The 21,197-nt window shown below is 38.5% G+C and overlaps 1 protein-coding gene across 9 annotated transcripts in view, besides 1 other annotated feature; it reads right to left on the bottom strand.

Moving 5' to 3' along the window:
• TMTC1 (transmembrane O-mannosyltransferase targeting cadherins 1) overlaps positions 1-21,197 on the bottom strand; it is a 283,947-nt gene that overhangs the window by 191,636 nt on the left and 71,114 nt on the right. The gene's annotated exons all lie outside the window — the stretch shown is intronic.
• Positions 17,581-18,125: an enhancer, noted in NCBI's record as "OCT4-NANOG hESC enhancer chr12:29862962-29863506 (GRCh37/hg19 assembly coordinates)". NCBI's record gives its function as "activates a minimal SCP1, AML or CMV promoter by ChIP-STARR-seq in naive H9 embryonic stem cells {active_cell/tissue: H9 hESC(naive)}" and the evidence as "EXISTENCE:reporter gene assay evidence [ECO:0000049][PMID:30033119]".

The following is a 21,197-nucleotide window of genomic DNA, read 5'->3' on the forward strand; positions in this document are numbered from 1 at the left end:
TACCACTTCCCACGCACTAGAGTGGCCATAATCAAAGAGGTAGACAATAAGGAGTACTGGTGAAAATGTGGGGAAACTGGAACCTTTATACATTACTGGTAGGATATGTCAACTGGTACAAGCAGTTTGGAAGAGTTCAGCAAAAATTAAAACATTCCTTTACTATATAAAGTGGCAATTCCTTCCTTGGTATTCATCTTTCCAAGAATATAAAAATAAATATCCACACAAACACTTATATGTGAATGTATAGAGTATTATTCACGACAGCCCCAAATGAAAACCATCCAAATGTCCACTTACAGGTGAATGGATAAACAAAACATTTATAAACAAAATACAAGTGAACACGATTCAGCAATAAAAATAGAAGAAAGTAGTAATACATGTTATAACATAGATAAACCTTAAAAACATCATACTACATTAAAGAAGCCTGACACAAAATAACACGTTTTATTATTATATTTATATGTAATGTCTAGAAAAGGCGAATCTACAAAAACAGAAAGCAGATGAGTGATTGCCTGGGGCTGGGATTAGGAGTGAAAACTGACTGCAAATGCCCATCAGGGGTCTTTTTAGAGGGGTGAGAATATTATAAGAGTGAACCGTAGTAAGGTTTGCACAGCTCTAAAAGTTTTGAAAATGTTTAAAGTGTTTTCTTTAATTGACACATAATAATTATAAATATTTATGAGGTACAGAGGGATATTTAAATACATACGATGTGTACTGATCAAATCAGCTGTAAAAGTTTTGAAAATGTTCAAAGTTCTTGTTTTTTAAAATTGACACATAATAATTATACATATTTATGAGGTACAGAGGGATATTTAAATACATACAATGTGTGCTGATCAAATCAGGATAATTAGCATATCCATCATCTCAAACATTTATCTTTTCTTTGTGTTGGGTAGATTGAAAATCCTCTCTTCTAGCTATTTGAAAATATATAATAAATTACTATTAACTATAGTCAGTCTATAGTTCTATAGAATATTGGAATTTATTCCTCCTAACTGTAATTTTGTATCCAAAATTTGTAACCAACCTTTCTCTATCCCCTTCGTTCCCCACCCGTTCCCAGCCTCTAATATTAATAACTACTATTCTACTGTCTACTTCTGTGAGATCAATTTTAGCTTCTATAAATTTATTTTAAAAACTAAAATGCTGTGCACTAAAAATGGGTGAATTTCACAGTATTTAAATTATACCTCAATAAGGCTTAAAAATAAAGCACTCTACTAGTATCATTTTTTATATACTAGTGATAAATATTAGTATGACAAGTCTCTATTCAGTGTATTCCCTTGTAAGATTAGAGATGTATTTTCATAAGAGAAAAGTCTGACAGCCAGGGTTGAAAAGAGGTACTAAAATGCCCGGGCAGACTGACAGCAGGTTAGATGTTATAATTTAGTTCTCTTGGTATTTGTAGAGCAGACTGAAATATCTGGTTCATGTAGTATACTCCAGCTTAAAAATTCACCAAATTCAAGGCTTTAGGTTATTAATTACATTCTTTTTATATATTAATAGGTGTATTAAAAATAGATTATTTTACATAAATGCTTTCAATTGATAGATCAAATATTAGCTGCAGCTTAATACTGGCATTGTTCAGAAAAAGGCTGGCATTCTTTCCATGTTCCCATTTGTTATCTCTCTCTCTCTACATACCGTCCTTAACAAACCTTTTTCACACTGTACTATAACGATCCATCCCCGTATCTGACTCTCTACGCTTGCCTATGCTTCTTGAAAGCAGAAGCAATCTCCTCAATGATTTGCATCATTAACACATAATTGTTACTCAACAAAACTTTCTGAAGCTTACATGTACAGTCATACCTCAGTGCGCTCAGAGTATTGCTTCCAGGACCCCCTGGGGATATCAAAATCCTCAGATATTCAAATCCCTGATATAAAATGGGGCAGTATTTGCATGTAATCTACACACATCCTCCCATACACTTTACATAATCTCTAGATTACTTATAATACCTAATACAATGTAAATGCTATGCAAATAGTTGTTATACTGTATTGCTTTTTAAATTTTGTGTTATCTTTTAATTTTTTTTTTTCAAATATTGTCAATCTGTGAAATCCACGGATATGGAAGGCTGGCTGCATTAAAGTTTCTTGTGGCTGCTGTAACAAATGGCCACAGACTTGGTGGTTAAAAACTGCAACAAGCGGCTGGGTGTGGTGGCTCACGCCTGTAATCCCAGTACTTTGGGAGGCTGAAGCAGGCAGATCACCTGAGGTCAGGAGCTCGAGACCAGCCTGGCCAACATGGTGAAACACCGTCTCTACTAAGAATACAAAAATTAGCCAGGCATGATGGTGGGTGCCTGTAATCCCAGCTATTTGGGAGGCTGGGGCAGGAGAATTGCTTGAACCTGGGAGGCGGAGGTTGCAGTGAGCCTTGCCATTGCACTCTAGCCTGGGCAACAAGAGCGAAACTCCATCTCAACAAAACAAAACAAAACAAAACAAAACAAAAAAACCTGCAACAATCTATTTTCTCAGATTTTTGGAGACCAGAAGTTCAATTTGTTGGCAGGGCCACACTCCCTCTGAAGGCCCTAGGAATCCCTCTTTGCACAGCTCCTGGTGGCTCCAGGCATACTTCAGCTTCCTTGACTTCCAGCCACATCACTCCAATCCCTGCCTCTGTCTTCACATTGCCTTCTCCTCTGTCTTGCTCTCCTCTGTCTCTTATAACAACACTCTTGATTGGATTTGGGGCCATGGGATAATCCAGGATGATCTCATCTCAAGATCCTTAATTAATTACATCTGCAAAGACCATTTTTTGGAAATGAGGTCACATCCACAGGTTTTTGTTTGTTTGTTTTTGTTTTGAGACAGTCTCACTTTGTTGACAGGCTGGAGTGTGGTGGTGCTATCTCGGCTCACTGCAACCTCCCACTCCCTGGTTCAAGCGATTCTCCTGCCTCAGACTCCTGAGTAGCGGGGATTACAGACACACGCCACCACATCCAGTTAATTTTTGTATTTTTAGTAGAGACGGGGTTTCACCATGTTGGCCAGGATGGTCTCAATCTCCTGACCTTGTGATCTGGCCGCCTCAGCCTCCCAAAGTGCTGGGATTACAGGCGTGAGCCACCGCGCCAGGCCACATCCACAGGTTTTAAGGATTTGGATATGGATCTTTTGGGGAGCCACTACTTAATACATTACGATATAACCCAAAAGTTTAAGTATTTTAAAGGACTTGACAATACTCACATAAAAATAAAAAGTTTTGCCACCAATAAGGTAAATCAATAAGATTTACTTCTCACAAATTTTAAACTACTTCCTTTTTATATATATATATATATATATATATATATATATATAACCTGTCTTCAACCTAAATTATGGAAGGAGATTTTGTGATGGATTTTACTAGGACCTATTGAGAAAATAGGAAGCAACCTTCCCAGGACTGAAATAAATACAATTCACTGAAGCATGAACCAGCTGCATATTATGTTCCTATGCTTTGAGAATTTTCCAAATTTTTCTCTTGATGGATGGCAGTTATTTTCCACGACTCCTATTACCTTCCAGTGGTGTTTTTCCAAAGGAGATATATTTAAATACATCTTGGACAAGAACAAAGTATTTTAATTAACTGTGAAACAATATAAAAATAAATTTTGCTCTTTATTTCGACATTATAGCCTTCAGTGTCAGAAGCACTATTATTTCGTTCCTGCACACCTGTATTAGTTTGTGCTTGGGGAAAAGATGTAGCCAGCTACATACATCTAGCTCTAAGTCACTGCAGTTTACACAAGGATAGAAGACTATTGCTTTAATGGGGAAGAAGGGAAACAAAAGAATAATGTATTATTAAATGTTTCAAAAGTAAGAATAAACGGAAAAGACTAACAGGTTTAGAAACTTCACTTCTGGATGTGACAAGAATTCCAAAACAGTCAACTCCAGCTACCCCACCTTTGAAATAGGAACCTAATCAAGAGTGTAAGACACTGTCACTCATTTTCATGTTAATTTTTAATATATACTGAGAAACAGAGGAAAATTAAATGAAATCTTTTGCTCTGGAAAGATTTGAGGCAACATTAACAATACCAATGTTATTGCTTACTTTCTTTTCTTATTAAAAAGGATGAAAAGTGAAGGTTTATTCATGTTTTATCAAGCTACGGTTCTAATTTTTAAAGTTTAAGGAATTAATATGGTTATGTTTTCCTAGGACCATTAACGTGTCACATCAGATACTTAAGTTTTATTGAAGTAGGGTAGGAAATAAATAGAAGAAAGAAACCTAATATATGGAGAAGGTATTTTGTGCAAATTAACAGTACTTATTCTGAAATTTATAAATTTTTCATTTCCTTATTTATAATTTGCATTATAATAAAACTTGAACTTATAGCAACTTATGACAACATAGAAGGAATATTATTCTTATTAGATGAAACATGAAATAAAAGGATATAAAATATTTTGAAAACCAGGAAAGTCTATAAAAGTATACTTTAAGTTTACGTGTACGGCATCCTCATTCACTGTATAAACTAGAATCATAAGTTCCATGAAAGCAGGAGATTTTGCTTGCATTGTTTACCAATTTATTCTCAGAACTTTGAGTAATGCCTGGCATATGACAGGTTCTCAATATGTATTCGTCAAGTGAATGAAGGAAAAAAATGAAAAGAACCAAGAACACAGTCATGTAGACCTAGTCTGAATACAGGTTCCACTACATACTACATACTAGCTGAATTTCACTTCTTCCACCTGTCACTTAGCCCTTGGTGTAGCACTGTCTTGGGACAGTCTTTTACCTTTATATGAGCCTGTCCTGCTTCTCTTGGTTATACTCTAAGCTTCTTTCTTCATTCCCGGTGTCTACTATGATAACCTCTCACAACTCAGAAATCTGAGGATGCTCACAATGATCAAGAATTGTAAGGCTTTCTCTGATGCTTAAGGGGTACAATGTCTAAAGTAACTATCTTTTCAAATCATCTAGTCTATTAGAGTTCTCCAGAGAAACAGAACCAAAGGATGTATGTGTGTGTATAGAAAGAGATTTATTAAAAGAAATTGGCTCATGTGATTATGGAGGCTAGAAAGTTCAAAATCTGCATGGCAGGCTGGCAGGCTGATCTCGCTCCAGGAGAGCCAGGGTTCTAGCCCAAGGACTGGCGGGCCAAAGACACAGGAGAGTCAATGCCCCAGGGTCTGAGTGTGAAGGCAGGAAGAGCTGATTTTGCAGGTGAAGTCCAAAGACAGCCTGGAGAATTCTCTCTTTCTCAGGGGAGGCCAGTCTTTTTGTTCTATTCAGGCCTTCAACTGATTGGATGAGGTCCACTCATATTACCAAGGACAATCCACTTTGTTCAAAATTCACTGAGTTAAAAGTTACTCCCAACCAAAAAAAGAAGAAGAAAACCCTCAGAAAAACACTCAGAATAATTTTTGACCAAATATGTAGGCACCCGGTGGTCTAGCCAAGTTGATATCCAGAAAATGTCACCCCAAAATAGAGTACTCTTGTATGATTATTCTTTAAATTAAAGGCCCTTGGAAATCAGGAGGTGCTGGAAGAGGCTTTCCTCTGATCTTCCCTTATCTGCCTAAAGACTGGACCAACCAAGGAAGAAAACAATTGCCTTTTGTCCCTTCCCTGAGTTTTCATTCACTAAACTCATATTGCAGAGAGAAGACTGAGGAATGTAACCACATCTGGACAGATTTCGTCACCAGGTATTGTCCTCTCCCACGCCCATTTATTCCCTTTAAAAATCATTTAATACCTTTCATATTGCCATGATCCCCCACTTCCCCTTGCCCTATGTGGAAGTGTATATAACCATCCAGATCCCATTGGGTTAATGGGTGATCACTCCTCTGTGATTTTTGCCCTGTGTGTGTTAATAAAATTTTGTACGCCATTTTCTCCTGTTAGTCTATCTATTGTCAGTACATTCCAGGAGGAAATGCTTGGCTTTGGCTCCTACAACACAAGAGTTCACCATCACACCTAGTGTATGTGTCCCATCGTATCTACTCTGGAGATGTTGACAAATAAAGTGTCCCCCTTGGTCTTATGTTTCTAAGTTAGAGGAAAACTTCATGGAACACTAAAAAGGGATCTTTGTTCTTCACCTGCCCCAGTGTTTTATTTGCCTCATTCCCCCCAAACAGTCACACTTCAGTACCTACATGCTTGCCTGGAACGTGGACCTCAGATATTAATCATGACTATATAATCAAATCCAAGTCAATATCTCACAAGTCTTGCCAGAGTATGAACAGATGCTCACTATCTTGAAAATGAAAATATTAGTGTTACAGATCCCTGGAGCCCAACACTTATTGTCAAAGTCAAGGGAGAAATGGGGAAAGAGGGGGTTAAAACTGCATTGCTGGAACAACCCCATACTCTCCAGCTGTGAACAATTAGGCCTGTCAGCATTCCTTTCAGGAAACTCCTGCTGCTTTATTAGGATGAATGGGAAACAGAATTTTGACTTTTTGATAGGTGAGGTTATAAATCTACCATCAAGACTGGGAGAGGACCAACTGGGTTTATGTGCACATGTTGAATCTTTAATTATGGACCCCCCAAGATGTTCAACTTAGTAATGCCTTATCGTGTTCCAAGGCAGAAGTGGGAGGAGAGGGAGGAACTAGGTTTGTGACTAAGGAATTACTCTCTTTTAATAGAATTACATAGGAGGATAGGTAACAGTTGTGCAGAGGAAGGTCTCTGAATACCCATGATGTGTCAACTTGGAAATATTTGCTCATGCACAATTCTTTTTCATGGCTAGTCACAATTTTATGACTTTCTATGAATTTCATATCTAATTTTAAAATAATCTATAACATAAAAATGAGAAACCAAGCTCTGAGAAAACAGTAAAGGTGAAAGCAACTTAAATTTTCATGTGTCTTACCAAAAAATTACAACGTTATATGACAGAAAAAAGTGCCATGAAGGCACAAAATATCTTCTATGACTACTTTGAATACCACATTGTTTTTAAGAACTCCAAATGTAATTGATACAAATTAGCGACATGTAACCTATTGCACATAAGATATAGCAGAAAACTTCCAGAATTGTATTCAAAAGATAGTTTTAGAAATCAGTACTTTATTTGGCACAAAATACATCCAGTTCTTCATCTGGTGCTTTTTTTTTTTTTTTTTTTTTTTTTGACAGGGTCTCACTGTCACCCAGGCTGGAGTGCTGTGGCGCTACCACAGCTTGCTGCAGCATCGACCTCCCGGGCTCAAGCGATCCTCCTGAGTAGCTGGGACTACAGGCGCACACCAACAAGCCCAGCTAATTTTTTACTTTTATTTTGTAGAGATGGGTCTCACGACATTGCCAGGGCTGGTCTTGAACTCCTAAACTCAAGGGATCCTCCCACCTCAACCTCCCAAAATGCCGGGATTACAGGCATAAGCCACCATGCCTTGCCATCATCTGGTAGCTTTGATCCCTCTCCTTCAAGACACATATATTGTTGTTTAGTAAGATTCCCTTTAATATCAGACAGTATTTTTAATTTTTAAAATTTTACATTTAAATTTTATTTTATCTTTAGAGATAGGGTCTTGTTCTGCTGCCCAAGCTGGAGTACAGTGGTGTGATCACAGCTCACTGCAACCTTAAACTCCTGCACTCAAGGGATCCTGCTGCCTCAGCCTCCCAAATAGCTAGGATTACAGGCACTCCCCACCATGTCTGGCTAATTTTTGTTTTTCTTTTTTTTTTTGTTTTTTTTTTTGAGACAGAGTCTCACTCTGTCACCCAGGCTGGAGTGCAGTGGTGTGATCTTGGCTCACTGCAAGCTCCGCCTCCCGGGTTCACGCCATTCTCCTGCCTCAGCCTCCCGAGTAGCTGGGCTCTTTTAATATTTTGTAGAGATAGAGTCTCACTTTGTTGTCCAGGCGGGTCTCAAACTCCTGGCTTAATATCCTCCCACCTTGATCTCCCAAAGTTCTGGAATTATAGGCATGAGCCACCGCACCAGGCCTTGGATAGTATTTTATCTGGTCTCCTAAGATCCAACTTGCCCCTCACACCTCTAGTCAAATAACAAATGTGAAGATGGTGATACCTTTCTGGAGAGAAGCTGGAATTTTGTTGTACTTGTACATTTTTGATGATAGCATGGCTTACTAACATAGCACCCTATTCATAGAACTCCTCAAAAAGTGCTCACTAAATTAAGTATTAATAGAATATTTCTCATTCATCATCAGTCAGAGCCCACTGAGATGCTTCAACAACTCACATAACATTTTCATGTCCTCACTTGAAAAATGGGACTAAAGCTACTGGACCAAAATATGTGATGTCTCACAGCCAATGCCTGGCATATAATCAGCACTCTGTAAAGGCTGTTTTTTAAAGAAAACTTACATTACTCATTGTCGTGACAAGAAAGTGATAAATTAGATACAAATGCATTAAGTAAGGCTCAGGCACTTTGCAAGTTTGGGGGTTTGTTTTTCTTTAAAGTATTTTAAGCAAACTTCCCAATTCCCAGCAGAATTTCTTTCTTTTTTTTTTTTTTCTGAGATTCTTCCCTCTGTCCTCTCACTGCTCTGCTGACTGAGAGTCTTGCTTTTGCCAGCTGTATCTTAGGACTAATGAGATTATTGTGGAAATGATCAGTCGTTTGAAACACCAGCCCACAAGTACAAGTAAATTCAGAAGATTGAGTAGAGCTCCATGGGAATCCACTCAAAGAGAACAGGGTGACCATAAAATGTGCCACTGAGGCTTCCTGCTGCGGGAGTAAGATTGACTTTTGGCCCCAGCTCCTGCATCCTCGAAGTCCACCACCGGTTTTGCCTTAGGCTACACTCACGAGGGTAGCTCCCAGTTAGTGACTGAGCAAGGCTGGGAAACTAAGGCAGGTCCATTCCTGCAAGATGGAGGGCTCCCCTGACAAGAAATTTTGGCTCCTGGACTCTATGTCAGCCTGCTCCAGAAACTGCTAGAACTCCATGCACTGCAGTCTGAGACTCTTCCTAACTTCCCCCTTCCTTCCTACTCTGCTTCATAGTCCTGCATAGAAGGCTGAAGGTTCTTCCCACCTCCTTTCACTCCTCTTTTATCCTCACTAGCTTTCCCCTAGTAAATCTCTTTTATGTCTAATCCCACCTTGTGTCAGCTTCTTGGACAACAAAACTTTAAAAAGAAATAGCTTACTAAATGCTTTCACTCCTTGTCAGGTAGCTACAGGCTACAGCAATGCCAGTAGTCAATGTGGAAACCTCTTTCCAGACTGTATGAGACATGGTATGAGGTAGTAGCCTATAACAGATTCACTACCCAATTAAATTCATCATGTCAATAATTTCAGGACAAGAAAAGGCCTAAGTTTTCTTAAGGCATTTAAACAAAAATAAGGTAAGGTAGGTCCATGAAAATAATAAACCAATACCACTTCTCTAACTTGGTTAAGCTACTTTCCCTATTGAAGATGTGTTTCCCTAATACAATTGCAGGTTTTGTTAAGGATAATAATACTGAGTTAACTATTTTAGTCAAATCCACTTTGAAAATAATATGCTAGAATAATATGAATATATACTATAATTTATTTTCAAAGGAGATAGATGTGCCAAGAATCCAGATTAAACTATGGACTGATTAATAAGCTTTTCCCATCTCAACTTCATGATACTGCCTTCTTCTTTTCCTAATATAAATTCTACCTGTTTAATTTTTCTAATATGAAACATTACACCCACCTTCATTTACCTTCTGGCACAGTCTTCCAATGACAGCAATATCCAAAAACAGGAATATATTGTCCACTGAAAAATTTGTATTAGTTATCTCTGTCTAATAAATTACTCCAAAACTTGTCGGGCTCAGATGGGGATAGATCACTCCTAAGCTCACTCATATGGTCACTGGCTGAGTTCAGTTCCTTGAGGTGGTTGGACTTGGGCCTCCATTCCTTGCCAGCTGTTCACCGGAGGTTTCCCTCATTCCCTGGCACATGGCCCTCTCTGTAAAGCTGTTGGCATCCTCAGAGAAAGTGAGCGAGCAGAGAATAAGAATACCCAGGACAGGGGTTGCAGCTTTTACAACCCAATCTCAGAAATGACGTTCCACCACCGCTTTTCCACAAAAGTGCATCACTAAGCGCAGTGCACACTCAATGGGAACAGACTACACAAGCGGGTGAATCCGAGGCAGCGCAGGCCATTGGGAGGCAGCCTTGAGTATGCCGGCCACTCCGTTACTGTAGACACTCATTTCAGAGTTGTTTTCCTCAAATGCTTAAAGATTGGTTCATTGACATAAGAAAAAAATAGTCCATCATACCACACAGCTAAGGACTGCGATATTTTCTAATTTATAAAAAATACAAACTGAGGCCAGGCACGGTGGCTCATGCCTACAATCCCAGCACTTTGGGAGGCCGAGGCAGGTGGATCACCTGAGGTCAGGAGATCAAGACCAGACCGGGCAACATGGTGAAACTGCGTCTCTACTAAAATATAAAAATTAGTTAGGCACGGTGGCGCGTGCCTATAATCCCAGCTACTCGGGAGGCTGAGGCAGAAGAATTGCTTGAGCCCAGGAGGCAGAGGTTGCAGTGAGCCAAGATTGCTCCATTGCAGTCCAGTCTGGGTGACAGAGCGAGACTCAGTCTCAAAAAAAAAAAAAAAGGAACTGAAAAAATGACTTGTGCTTGGGGATACACAGCATGAACGGGTGGCAGGAAAAAAACAAAATAAGGAAAACTGTCTTTTGAAAGCATGAAAGAGTCATGGGAGGTGCTTAGAGTAAAACAGTGCTTTACTCCCATGTATCAACCTAGAAAATCTTCTTCAAAAGGAAATAACTTTCTTTGAATTGATGAAGCTCAGAAAAAGCTTGAGGTATATGTTATTATCAAGAGAAGAGTTTAAACAACAACTTATTTCACTGCTAGTTTCCGAGTAAAGATTCTTATAGCAATTTATTGTCAGTAGACTCTAATACCACCTGCGAAATACTACTATTTTTACTCATTATTGATTTAAAATAATTTTATAGAGAACTGGTTGCTTTTTTCCAAGATACCATTTGCTCGGATTAAATTATGCTTAATGCCAAGACGCATTTTTGCTAACAGCAACCACAATGAGGCAATGAGATCTCTAAAGTTACAGCAACTTATTCCAGTGAGAAGGACTGCAGACATCATCCAGTTCCACCCCCTGACTGTTTTATACTCCTGGCTGTCAACCTTAAAGGTTACCTTAAGCCCAGCTTCTCTTTAAACTTTCATGACTCACTCATAAATTTGTATAAATCCTTTGAAACCCTTTTATATTTCCTGCCACTTAACACCTCTTGGGAAACAAAGTTAAAATTACTATTGCTTTTTCCAAGTCTTCTGGCTTTACTTAGTGATATGGTTTGGCTGTGTCCCCACCCAAATCTCATCTTGAATTGTAGCTCCCATAATCCCCATGTAATGGGAGGTAACTGAATCATGGGGTCAGGTTTTTCCCATGAGACCTCCCCAGCCATGTGAAACTGTGAGTCCATTGAACCTCTTTTTCTTTATAAATTACCCAGTCCCGGGTATTTCTTCATAGCAGTATGAAAATGTACAAATACACTTAGGTTGAGTTATTATCATTGGTACCTGATATGAACTAAAAATAATAATTTCAGAGATTTTACCAACTTCAGTAATAGCTACTTTGATATTTGTAAATCTATTCTTGGTTTTCAAAACATAGTAGTACCATGGTATTTTGACAAGAAAATAGTGATACACTAATTACAATAAAATAGAAAGTTATTGCAAGTCCAGCTTTGTATCATCAAAAACTAAAGTGGCTCAATTTCAAGTCATGCACCTATAAGGACTAATGAATGAACGTATGAATGAACAGATGAATGATAGAAAGTCTGAATGGAAAGGAATGCATCTTGGGGGCATAGGCAGATAAAGTCATTTCACAAGGGAATAGCCTACCTGGTTACTTCAACATCCACAGCTCACAGAGATGGTACAGCTTTGAAGGTGGGAGAGCTACTATGATGAGTGGCAATCAAAACCCAGAAACCTCTAATATACTCTAATTTCCTTGTGAGTGTATTAGAGGCCTAATCTAATACACTGAAATTTAATTGGACAATTTTTTTTGATATTCTAATTTAAGACTTTATAACTCCATAGGTAGAGGGCAAAAGTGGAGGAAAATGAAGCCAAAAAGGAATATAACACCTTGAAGAGTGTGCTGACAGCACATGTGTTATGATCCAAGAATGACCTGTCTGTTATACAAGACTTGACACTAGGCTAGATGAATGGATCCACAGTCTATAAGGAGGAAGGTGCTGGTTCTACTCCACTTCCAGGAGAATTCAACTCTGGGCCTCTCACTTTTAGAGACATCTTTTGATTGCAGCATATCTAACGAAAAGAACCAGAATAATAAGAAAACTTAAAACTATTTATATGTTATATGAAGAAAAGCTAGAAAATGTGAGGGTGTTTATCCTGGAAAACAAATTATTCAGGAGGACAAAATGCTGCCGATAAATACCTACAGGTCTACTGATGGAAGAAGAGTCCTCACCCCAGAAGAATGAGCAGCCTCAGAAGGCATGAGCACCAGGCTGATGGGAGTTCAGAGCAGAGGCCAAACACAGATGACAGCACCTTGTAGGGGAGGATGCTACTGGAGGGGCTGACTCTATCACCACCGTGGTGTAATACCACCATTCAAATCCCGGGTGCACAGGTGGCCCATCGGTCAAACTTGGGGAACTCTTCTCTAGTCATCAGTTTCTAGTGTAAGAGACTAGAATATGCTACTCCAAAATAAGCTGCCTTGGCATAAGGATTATTTTGAGCTGATTATTTTGAGAAACTGCAGATACAGGAAAAGCTCTGAAAACAGAATACAAATCACTCTTTGGTAAGAGAAATTTACATCCACAGAGGAACTCTCCATTTGTAAGTGTGTCTCCCCATCTATACCAGGAAAAGGAGGACTCAGTCACTGGAGACGCATCAGTGGAGAGGGCACCCACTGAAATCTGCACAGCAAATCTTATCCTTGCTTACACTGCTTGTCCAGGTCACCTCCCCATTACCTGGCTTCCCCACACCCTTCTTTCTTGTTTCAAAGGACTGTGGTATTTAAACCTGAATTCAAAGTCATCTCTTTGAGATTTCCTCATTTCTCTGTGTTTCTCCTGTGTACACATGAGGTACACATTTTATTAAGCTTCTGTTTTTTCTCACTTGTCAATCTGTCTTTTGTTACAGGGCTCTGTCCCAACTGAGAACTATGAAGGATAGAGAAACAAAATTATTTTTTCCTCCCCTACACTAGGTCTAGCCTGCCCTAAAGACACCTTAGGATGGGCAGAATGAGCCCCAAATATCATGTGCTCTACTGCTTACATTATGTCTAATTCCCAAGAATGTCTGCTTCGGGCTGAAGAAAAAAAAAAGCATCATCTAAACTATAAAAAGCTATTTAAAGCTGTACTTCTAATTATAATTTCTCTCTTATCCCATCTTCACTAGTTCTCCAGGATATGTTTCCTACAGTTCTCCCAAAGCTTACCAGAAATAAAATCAATCTACTAGGGGTTGGTGTGTATGGCATATTGGCTGAAAGGGATGCACGGAATTTTACCATGCTGCACACTGTCAGTAAATGGCACACAAACAAGGCTACCAAGTTCAGACAGAACTGCAATGGGGTGGTCAAGAAAAGCTTCCTTGAGAGGCTGAATTCTGACCCAGCTATGCAGGAAGAGGAAGGTTTAGATGGGGAGAGATGTGTGCGTTTTCCTAAGAGCAAGGATTTGCACAGCCAAGAACATTAAAGGCAGAGACAAGAGCAAAAATAATATAATCCCTATTTCCTGTGTGTTGAGACATAAAGGCATTGCATTTTCCTTCTGCCTAACCATTGCACGCTCATTTTATCTTTGATCTAAAGTAATTAAAAGTATATCCTGGCTCCTGAATGAGCCACAATGCTAATGAGGTAGTGCCATTAGCATCAGGATTCAGTCGGGAAGTAATTACTTCTATGTACATTTTGGCTTCTTTGCTGAAATGTGGGAATGTGACCAGGTGATTATGGAACTATTTTAACAGGGTTTGGTGCAGATGCTTTCATCTGGAAACACAGACTCCAGGAATCTTAAACCACTTGGGAACAGACATCCATAAAAACAATTATTTTTATACTCTGGGGCTAGAATCAGCTTCCTGGAGTTTACTGTTAATTCTTTCAATGCCATTCAATGTGGGTATTTTTTGATATGCTTTCACTTGCATGCTGTAATTTCTCTTTCCAGAACACCATTTTGTTGGGGGTGATGAAGGATTTGGTTGGGGGCAGCGGTGGGTAAAGAGAAAAGAATGAGGTAAAATCAAATATAAAAAACAGCTGGCATGGGGAGGGGAGAAGTACAAAGACAGGATTGAAAGCAGCAAGTGGAAAAACGTATTCTCCCATAGGTGGAAAACAGAAGAAAGTTAACAGTGTTCCAACCCTGAAGAACAGAATGGGTCTGGCCTGGAGCCCTTGGGTCCTATGGGGACAGTCAGACCTGATGGCAATCAATTACGAGGCAGAAGATGAACTCCCTGCAAAATGGTTGCTTTTCACCTCGTGGATGTCAAGAGGTGGCTTGGGAATAGGTTGGGGACTGTCCTGGTTTTAGAACCATGCTGGAGGGCTCACTCAAGCCCCTTCCTTGGATCTGCTTCTGCCCCCACTACTACCATGTTGGTTCGCATGAAGTCCCTAAGTCATAAATGTGATCTAGCTAACATATTTTCGGCATTTCCTTCCAGAAAAAAAGCTTGCTTAGCTACTATATAAAATTTATTGCAGAATCTTCCTTCAAGCTGTCTTTACTCCTGCTCCCTGCCAGCCCCTTCAACCCTTGTGTCCATCCACTCCCCAAGCATCTCCCCCGCCTCTGCTCTTCAGCTCCAGGCATCGCGTCCTCTACTATGAGGCTACAAAGTCCAGAGTGTTACAATGACCCTCAGCACCATCCTTTCTCCTCTTTGAAGATCTCTTCTGATAGCCACTAGCCCTTCTCCCACTGAAGTCCTGATTTTAAGAGCAAGGCAGTGGAAGACAGCACTGAAACCTGGAGGATTTTGCAGACTTTTCCATTATCCTTGGGTTGGCCTCTGCACATGTGGCCATCGTCCTTTCTTACTGATCCTGTTCTTCAACCATGTTCTCTTTCTCTTATCCCTCTTCCACATCCTCCCGCAGTCTCATCCGTATGAACCACCCTTCCTTGTCTGCTGTGCACTACCTGTCCACATTTTTCACCTGCCACAGCACTTAAAAACTGAAGTTTAAATACGGTCCTCTCTCCCGCTTTTCTACACTACAAGGTCTTTGAGGCTGGAGAGCCACAGTGTTTTTTGTTTCTAGCCCCTTGACACACAGAACCAAGTCAGACACTCAAATTTCTGGTGAATACTTACTCATGGAAGACATGTAGTGAACCCCTGCTGAGAAACGAGGTACTCTGAGGAGACACAAGATGTCCTCATTCAAGGAATATTGCTTAAGATCTTTTCATATGCCAGGCAGTGTGCCCAGTACTGTGGGATATGTCAGGGAAGGAAACAAGACAAGCCTTGACCTCCAGAAGGATACAACACACAAATGCATACAGAAAATGTGATAACAGCTAAAACAGAAAAGCACAGAATTGCAGAATGAATATATAATGAGGTGCTCTGATTCACTTTGCTTTACTCTGGTACTGTGCCTGGCACAAGATTTTAATAAATGAATGAGTGAATACAGCCAGGGAATGATAAATTAAAGAAAGCTACCACAAAACTTAATGCACTTTATTTATTAAATAAATGCACATGAACAGCGCAGAGCAAATGTCTCTTATAATAGACACCAAAAGTCAGAGGAACAAATAATTTGTCGAAGTCACTTCAGAGATCATCCAAAACACTAGCTCTTAACCACTGAGCCCCCTTTGAAAATCTAAAAACAAACCAATATTGCACACAATGGAATTCTCTAAAGCCCATTGACTCCCAGTTTTAAAGTATTTTACCCATAAAGCCCACTTCAGGACAGAGCCACAATGCACATTTCCAAACAGTGCTTCAGGATACCCAAAGTCAACACCAACTGCTGACTGGCAGGTCCTTGGGAAAACTTGCGTTTGTTAAATACATTCTAAAGACAAGATATTTTCCATGCCAGAAGCACACACAAACCCAAATATCAACCTAGAATGTACCGTCTTGAGCCCTTAGGCTAACCTGTTTTTATATAATAGGAGATAGAGCCTCTGCAACAAGAGAGATTCCCAAAGTTTGAAGCTTTGCAGTTGAAATGAGCATCTAAAATCAAGGGCCAAGTCCCAACAAAATTTCGTCTCGATTTTCTTCTGAGAAAATGAAGTAATTTCTTATTCTCCTAAACATAGGAGTATAAGAAAATATTGTTTTGTCAAGAGAATATCCTTTCAGACTAGTTCTACAACGAGAGAAAAATCACCAAGAAAGGATATTGAACAAGAGTCAAATGCCAAGATGAAGAATATATTTTTAAATACTGTTTTTGTTTATTTTTGCACTATATATCAGAAAACAAAATACTCTATTCCATCTATAACACACTCAAAAAGCAAGTATAATAAGAGGCAATTAAATTTCAATATTTGGAGAAAAGTTTCAGAGATTGGCAACAGTGTTGCAGTGGGGTGATGTTGTCAGACTGCCTGGATTCAAATGCTGACATCACCAGGTGTGACCTTAAGCTAATGGCATTTGGCTTCTCAGAGCCTCAGCCAGTCTTCTGCAAAATGGAAATAATAAAAATTTTAACAACAACTTCATAGGGCTGTGTGTATATTAAGTGAGATAATTCACTTAAAAAAGCTTCAGAGCAATACCCAGAGAGCTAAGAAAAACAAAACAATACATTGGGTAAGAAAGTGAAAAGGAAGAAAAGAAAAAATATTTCCACATTAACACAAATAAGAAAGAACAATACATTTCCATGTTCCACTTTTAAAATACAAGTACATTCAGATAAAAATTTTGAAAAAAAAAATTCACAGATTTTCTAAATAAACAGAAAAAACTGGAAAAGAAATCAGAAAAAAATCCCACTTCCATAAGCCTCTCTCTCTTTTCTCTGGCCTTCTTTCCTGGGTAGGAACAAGATGCCAGATGGTAATGCACCAATCACAACTTGACAACACTTTTCTAGATATGCCTCTGCTTTCCAAAATGTGTTTAAAATTTGTTTAATGCCTTTATATTTACAGGTGTTTTAAAAGGCTTTTAATAATTCGTCTTACTCTTTACTGTGCACTAACCTGTAGGATAGGTTTCTTGAGGTTGCTATAGGAGTTTAACTATAGAGATGAAAACAGGGAAAAGCCTAAAGTGCTTTCCAATCGCAGAACATGAGTCTCACCATCATTTGAGAGAAAATAAAGCCGAGAGAAAATCCATAGCACATGGGAGGCAAACACCTTGCCAAAAAGTGAAATGACCAGCCAAAGTTAGGTTGTTCTGATACTGCTATACCCTGTTAGACTCACTGGTAATGGGTCTCTATCTGTCTCTAGTCAAACAATCAGTACGTAGAGTCTATTTCTGTTTTCTCGTTTGTTTCCCTCTTTTCTACTGAACAGCGTTCTTTAATCAAGCAGCTGCCACAATCTAACTGGCTTTCAGACTGAGCTACTCCAAACACAGCCTGAACCACTTTGCCGGGGTCTGCAGGAAATCTCCAGGCCTGTTAGGACACAGCAGATCTTTTGTAAGTCACTTTGGCTGCTCTTGCTCCCAGCTGCATGCCAATTAGTCTGCAGGCTGCTCTTTCCTTGCAGCCATTGGAACCACACTCCTATTTCAGGGATCTCTCAGGAAACATGTGGCTGAGAAACCAAATAAGGCGGATGCCTAGTATTTGTCATCAACCTAGATCACAAATGTCCTTGTCATGATCTACCTGAACCTTTAGAAGATGATTTTTAAAGAAGGATATATATATATAAAATATATATATCCTTATATATAATATATATAAAATATTGTATATAATGTATATATATTTATATTTATTATACTTATAATTTTTTATATTTATATTTATATTTTTATATTTATGTTATAATTTTTATATTTATATTATTTTTATATTTATATATTTATAATTTTATATATTTATAAATATGTATTTATAATTTTATATATTATTAAACGTATTTATATTTATAATCTATTTATATTATATATTTATATTAATAATAAATATATTAATACATAATGTATTTATATATAATATAATGTTTATATAATATAAATATATTAATAATATATAAATATATTAATTATATTATTATAAATTATATTATTAATATATAAATATATTAATAATATATAAATATATATAAATATATTAATAATATATAAATATATATATAAATATATTAATAATATATAAATATATATATATTTTTTCCCCCTCAGAGCAGGGTCTCACTCTATCACCCAGGCTGGAGTGCAGTGGTGCAATCATAGCTCACTGCAGCCTCAAACTCCATGGTTCAAACGATCCTCTTGTCTCGACCTCCCAAGTAGCTAGGACTATGGGCATGCACCACCATGCCTGGGTATTTATTATTTTTGTAGAGACAGGGTCTCACTGTGTGCCCAGGCTGGTCTCAAACTCCTGGCCTCAAGCAATCCTTCTGCCTCAGATTCCCAAAATACTGGGATTATCCACTTGAGCCACTGCACAGGGCTACAGTTAATGTTTTTAACAGGTAAGAAAGAAAATGTATTCAGGAACAAGTTTCATGTGATAATTTGGAAAGGGAGACTATAAGGGATTATTAAAGTAAAACAGTCTCTATGAGTTCAAATTTTGCTTTTAGCACTTTGCTTTCCTTTCCTCTTAGACATATTGATTTATACTGTGTACATTATCCTCCATGTGCCAAAACCAAAAATTAAGGATGCTGACCTAGGACGGGTGTTGGTGTCATTGGTTAAACTCAGACCGTAAAACTGCAGCTGGCACTACATTTCTAACATTGTTATAACAAAGTGAGGAGGACTGAACAGTTGAAGCAGATGTTGGAGATGTTCAGGGATTTGGGGCCCAGAGGCAGGACTTTAAAAAGCTGCTGAAATTCCTCATCCAATTAATTGGCAAAGAGCTCTGAGAGTCACTTTAAAGAGCAACCCTGGCTGGGTGTGGTGGCTCATGCCTGTAATCCCAGCACTTTGGGGGGCCAAGGCAGGCAGATCATGAGGTCAGGAGATCGAGACCATCCTGGCTAACACAGTGAAACCCCGTCTCTACTAAAAATACAAAAAAAATTAGCCGAGCATGGTGGTGAGTGCCTGTAGTCCCAACTACTCGGGAGGCTGAGGCAGGAGAATGGCGTGAACCCAGGAGGCAGAGCTTGCAGTGAGCCCAGATCGTGCCACTGCACTCCAGCCTGGGAGACAGAGCAAGACTCCATCTCAAAAAAAAAAAAAAAAAAAAAAAAAAAAAGAGCAACCCAGCATCAGCAGGTCATCTTTGGGAAGCTCTTCATCAGGGGACACTGCTCTCCAGCTCTCCAATATAACGCAAACTTCCCCTCAACTACATCCGATGTGGAAGAAAGTTCCCCAAATTAACCAGCCTGCTCACTTCAGGGTGTTTATCTTACATTATGTTGAACAACCACTAACACTGTGGTCGTATATGTGTGCAAACCACTTTTTATGTAAAACACTCATTAAAATATTCAAATGTTCAAACAGGCTAACACCTCAAGAAAACATCTAACCACAACATGTGCTGTCTTAATAAGAATTAATTATTTTCCCAATCTATCACCTTCCATTTACCAATGCAGCAATTACCAAACAACAGTGTTAAAGGTCCCTTTACGCTAAAATATTACTGAGAAAAGAATTTGTAAGTGTATGATATCTAAGAGAAAAGTTTTTAAAAATTTATTAATGCATTAAAATAATCTATTGTCTATTAAAACATTTTATTTTAAAAATCTATATTTCTTAAAATGAAGAAAATTAGTGAAAAGAATATAATTTTAAAGAATATTTTTGAAAATCTCTTTAAATATCTGGCTTAATCCAGGAGAATAGAAGCTGAATTCCCATATTTCCTTCTACATTCAATCTGCTGCTATATGTTATTCTAGTTGAAGTATATGAGGAAAATCTATCCTTGCTCAGATGCATTATAGTTGGAAAAGTGAGGAGTATCTTAACAGCTTTCCAGATAATTGCAGACATCCTTTGATACTACAATATTCAACAAGTGGTAGTTTCTTGAAGCTTATTGGTGATGTCGAATCTACTGGTCTACCTTCAACTTGAATGAATCTTTTATCCATTGCGATAGTTAATTTTATGTGCCAATTTGTCTAGGCTACGGTGTTCAGTTGTTTGTTCAAACACCAGGCTAGACGTTGCTATGAAGGTATTTTTTTTAAGGCGTGACTAACATTTAGATCAGTAGATGGAGTGAAATGGTTCTGTTTTCATAATGTGGGCGAGGCTCATCCAATCAATTGAAGGCCTTAAGAGAAAAAGACTCAGGTCCCCCAAGAAAAAAGGAATTCCGTCTCCAGACTGCAACGTGGAAATGTGGAAATGCTGCCTGACTACCACCCTTGAGACTTAGGATTACAACACCAACTGCTGCCTGAATTTCCAGCCTGCAAGTCTGCCCTGCAGGCTTCAGACTTGCCAGCCTCCACCTAAATAAGCCAGTTCCTTAAAATAAATCTCTCTACATAAACACATACACACACACACACACACACACACACACACACACACACACAGGGAGAGAGAGAGAGAGAGATCCTATTTCTTCAGTTTCTCTGGAGAACACAAACTAATGTTCTCCATCAGTTTGGAGAACATTTGTGTTAGTGGAGAACACTAACACACCGATGCATGATTTTGTAACATCATGCACTGACCATTTGAAAAATATGAGGTCACTGAGTTACATAAATTTGCAAAATGTTTACACATTTCATTACACAATATTCTGAAAATCCTATTTGCTACTATCACATATCACCACCGATCTCATCAAAAGACTTTTGGTAGTGGTAGGCTGTAAAACTCACAATGAAGTCA

The sequence above is a fragment of the Homo sapiens genome, chromosome 12 (genome assembly GCF_000001405.40).
Source record: "Homo sapiens chromosome 12, GRCh38.p14 Primary Assembly".
NCBI lineage: Eukaryota > Metazoa > Chordata > Mammalia > Primates > Hominidae > Homo > Homo sapiens.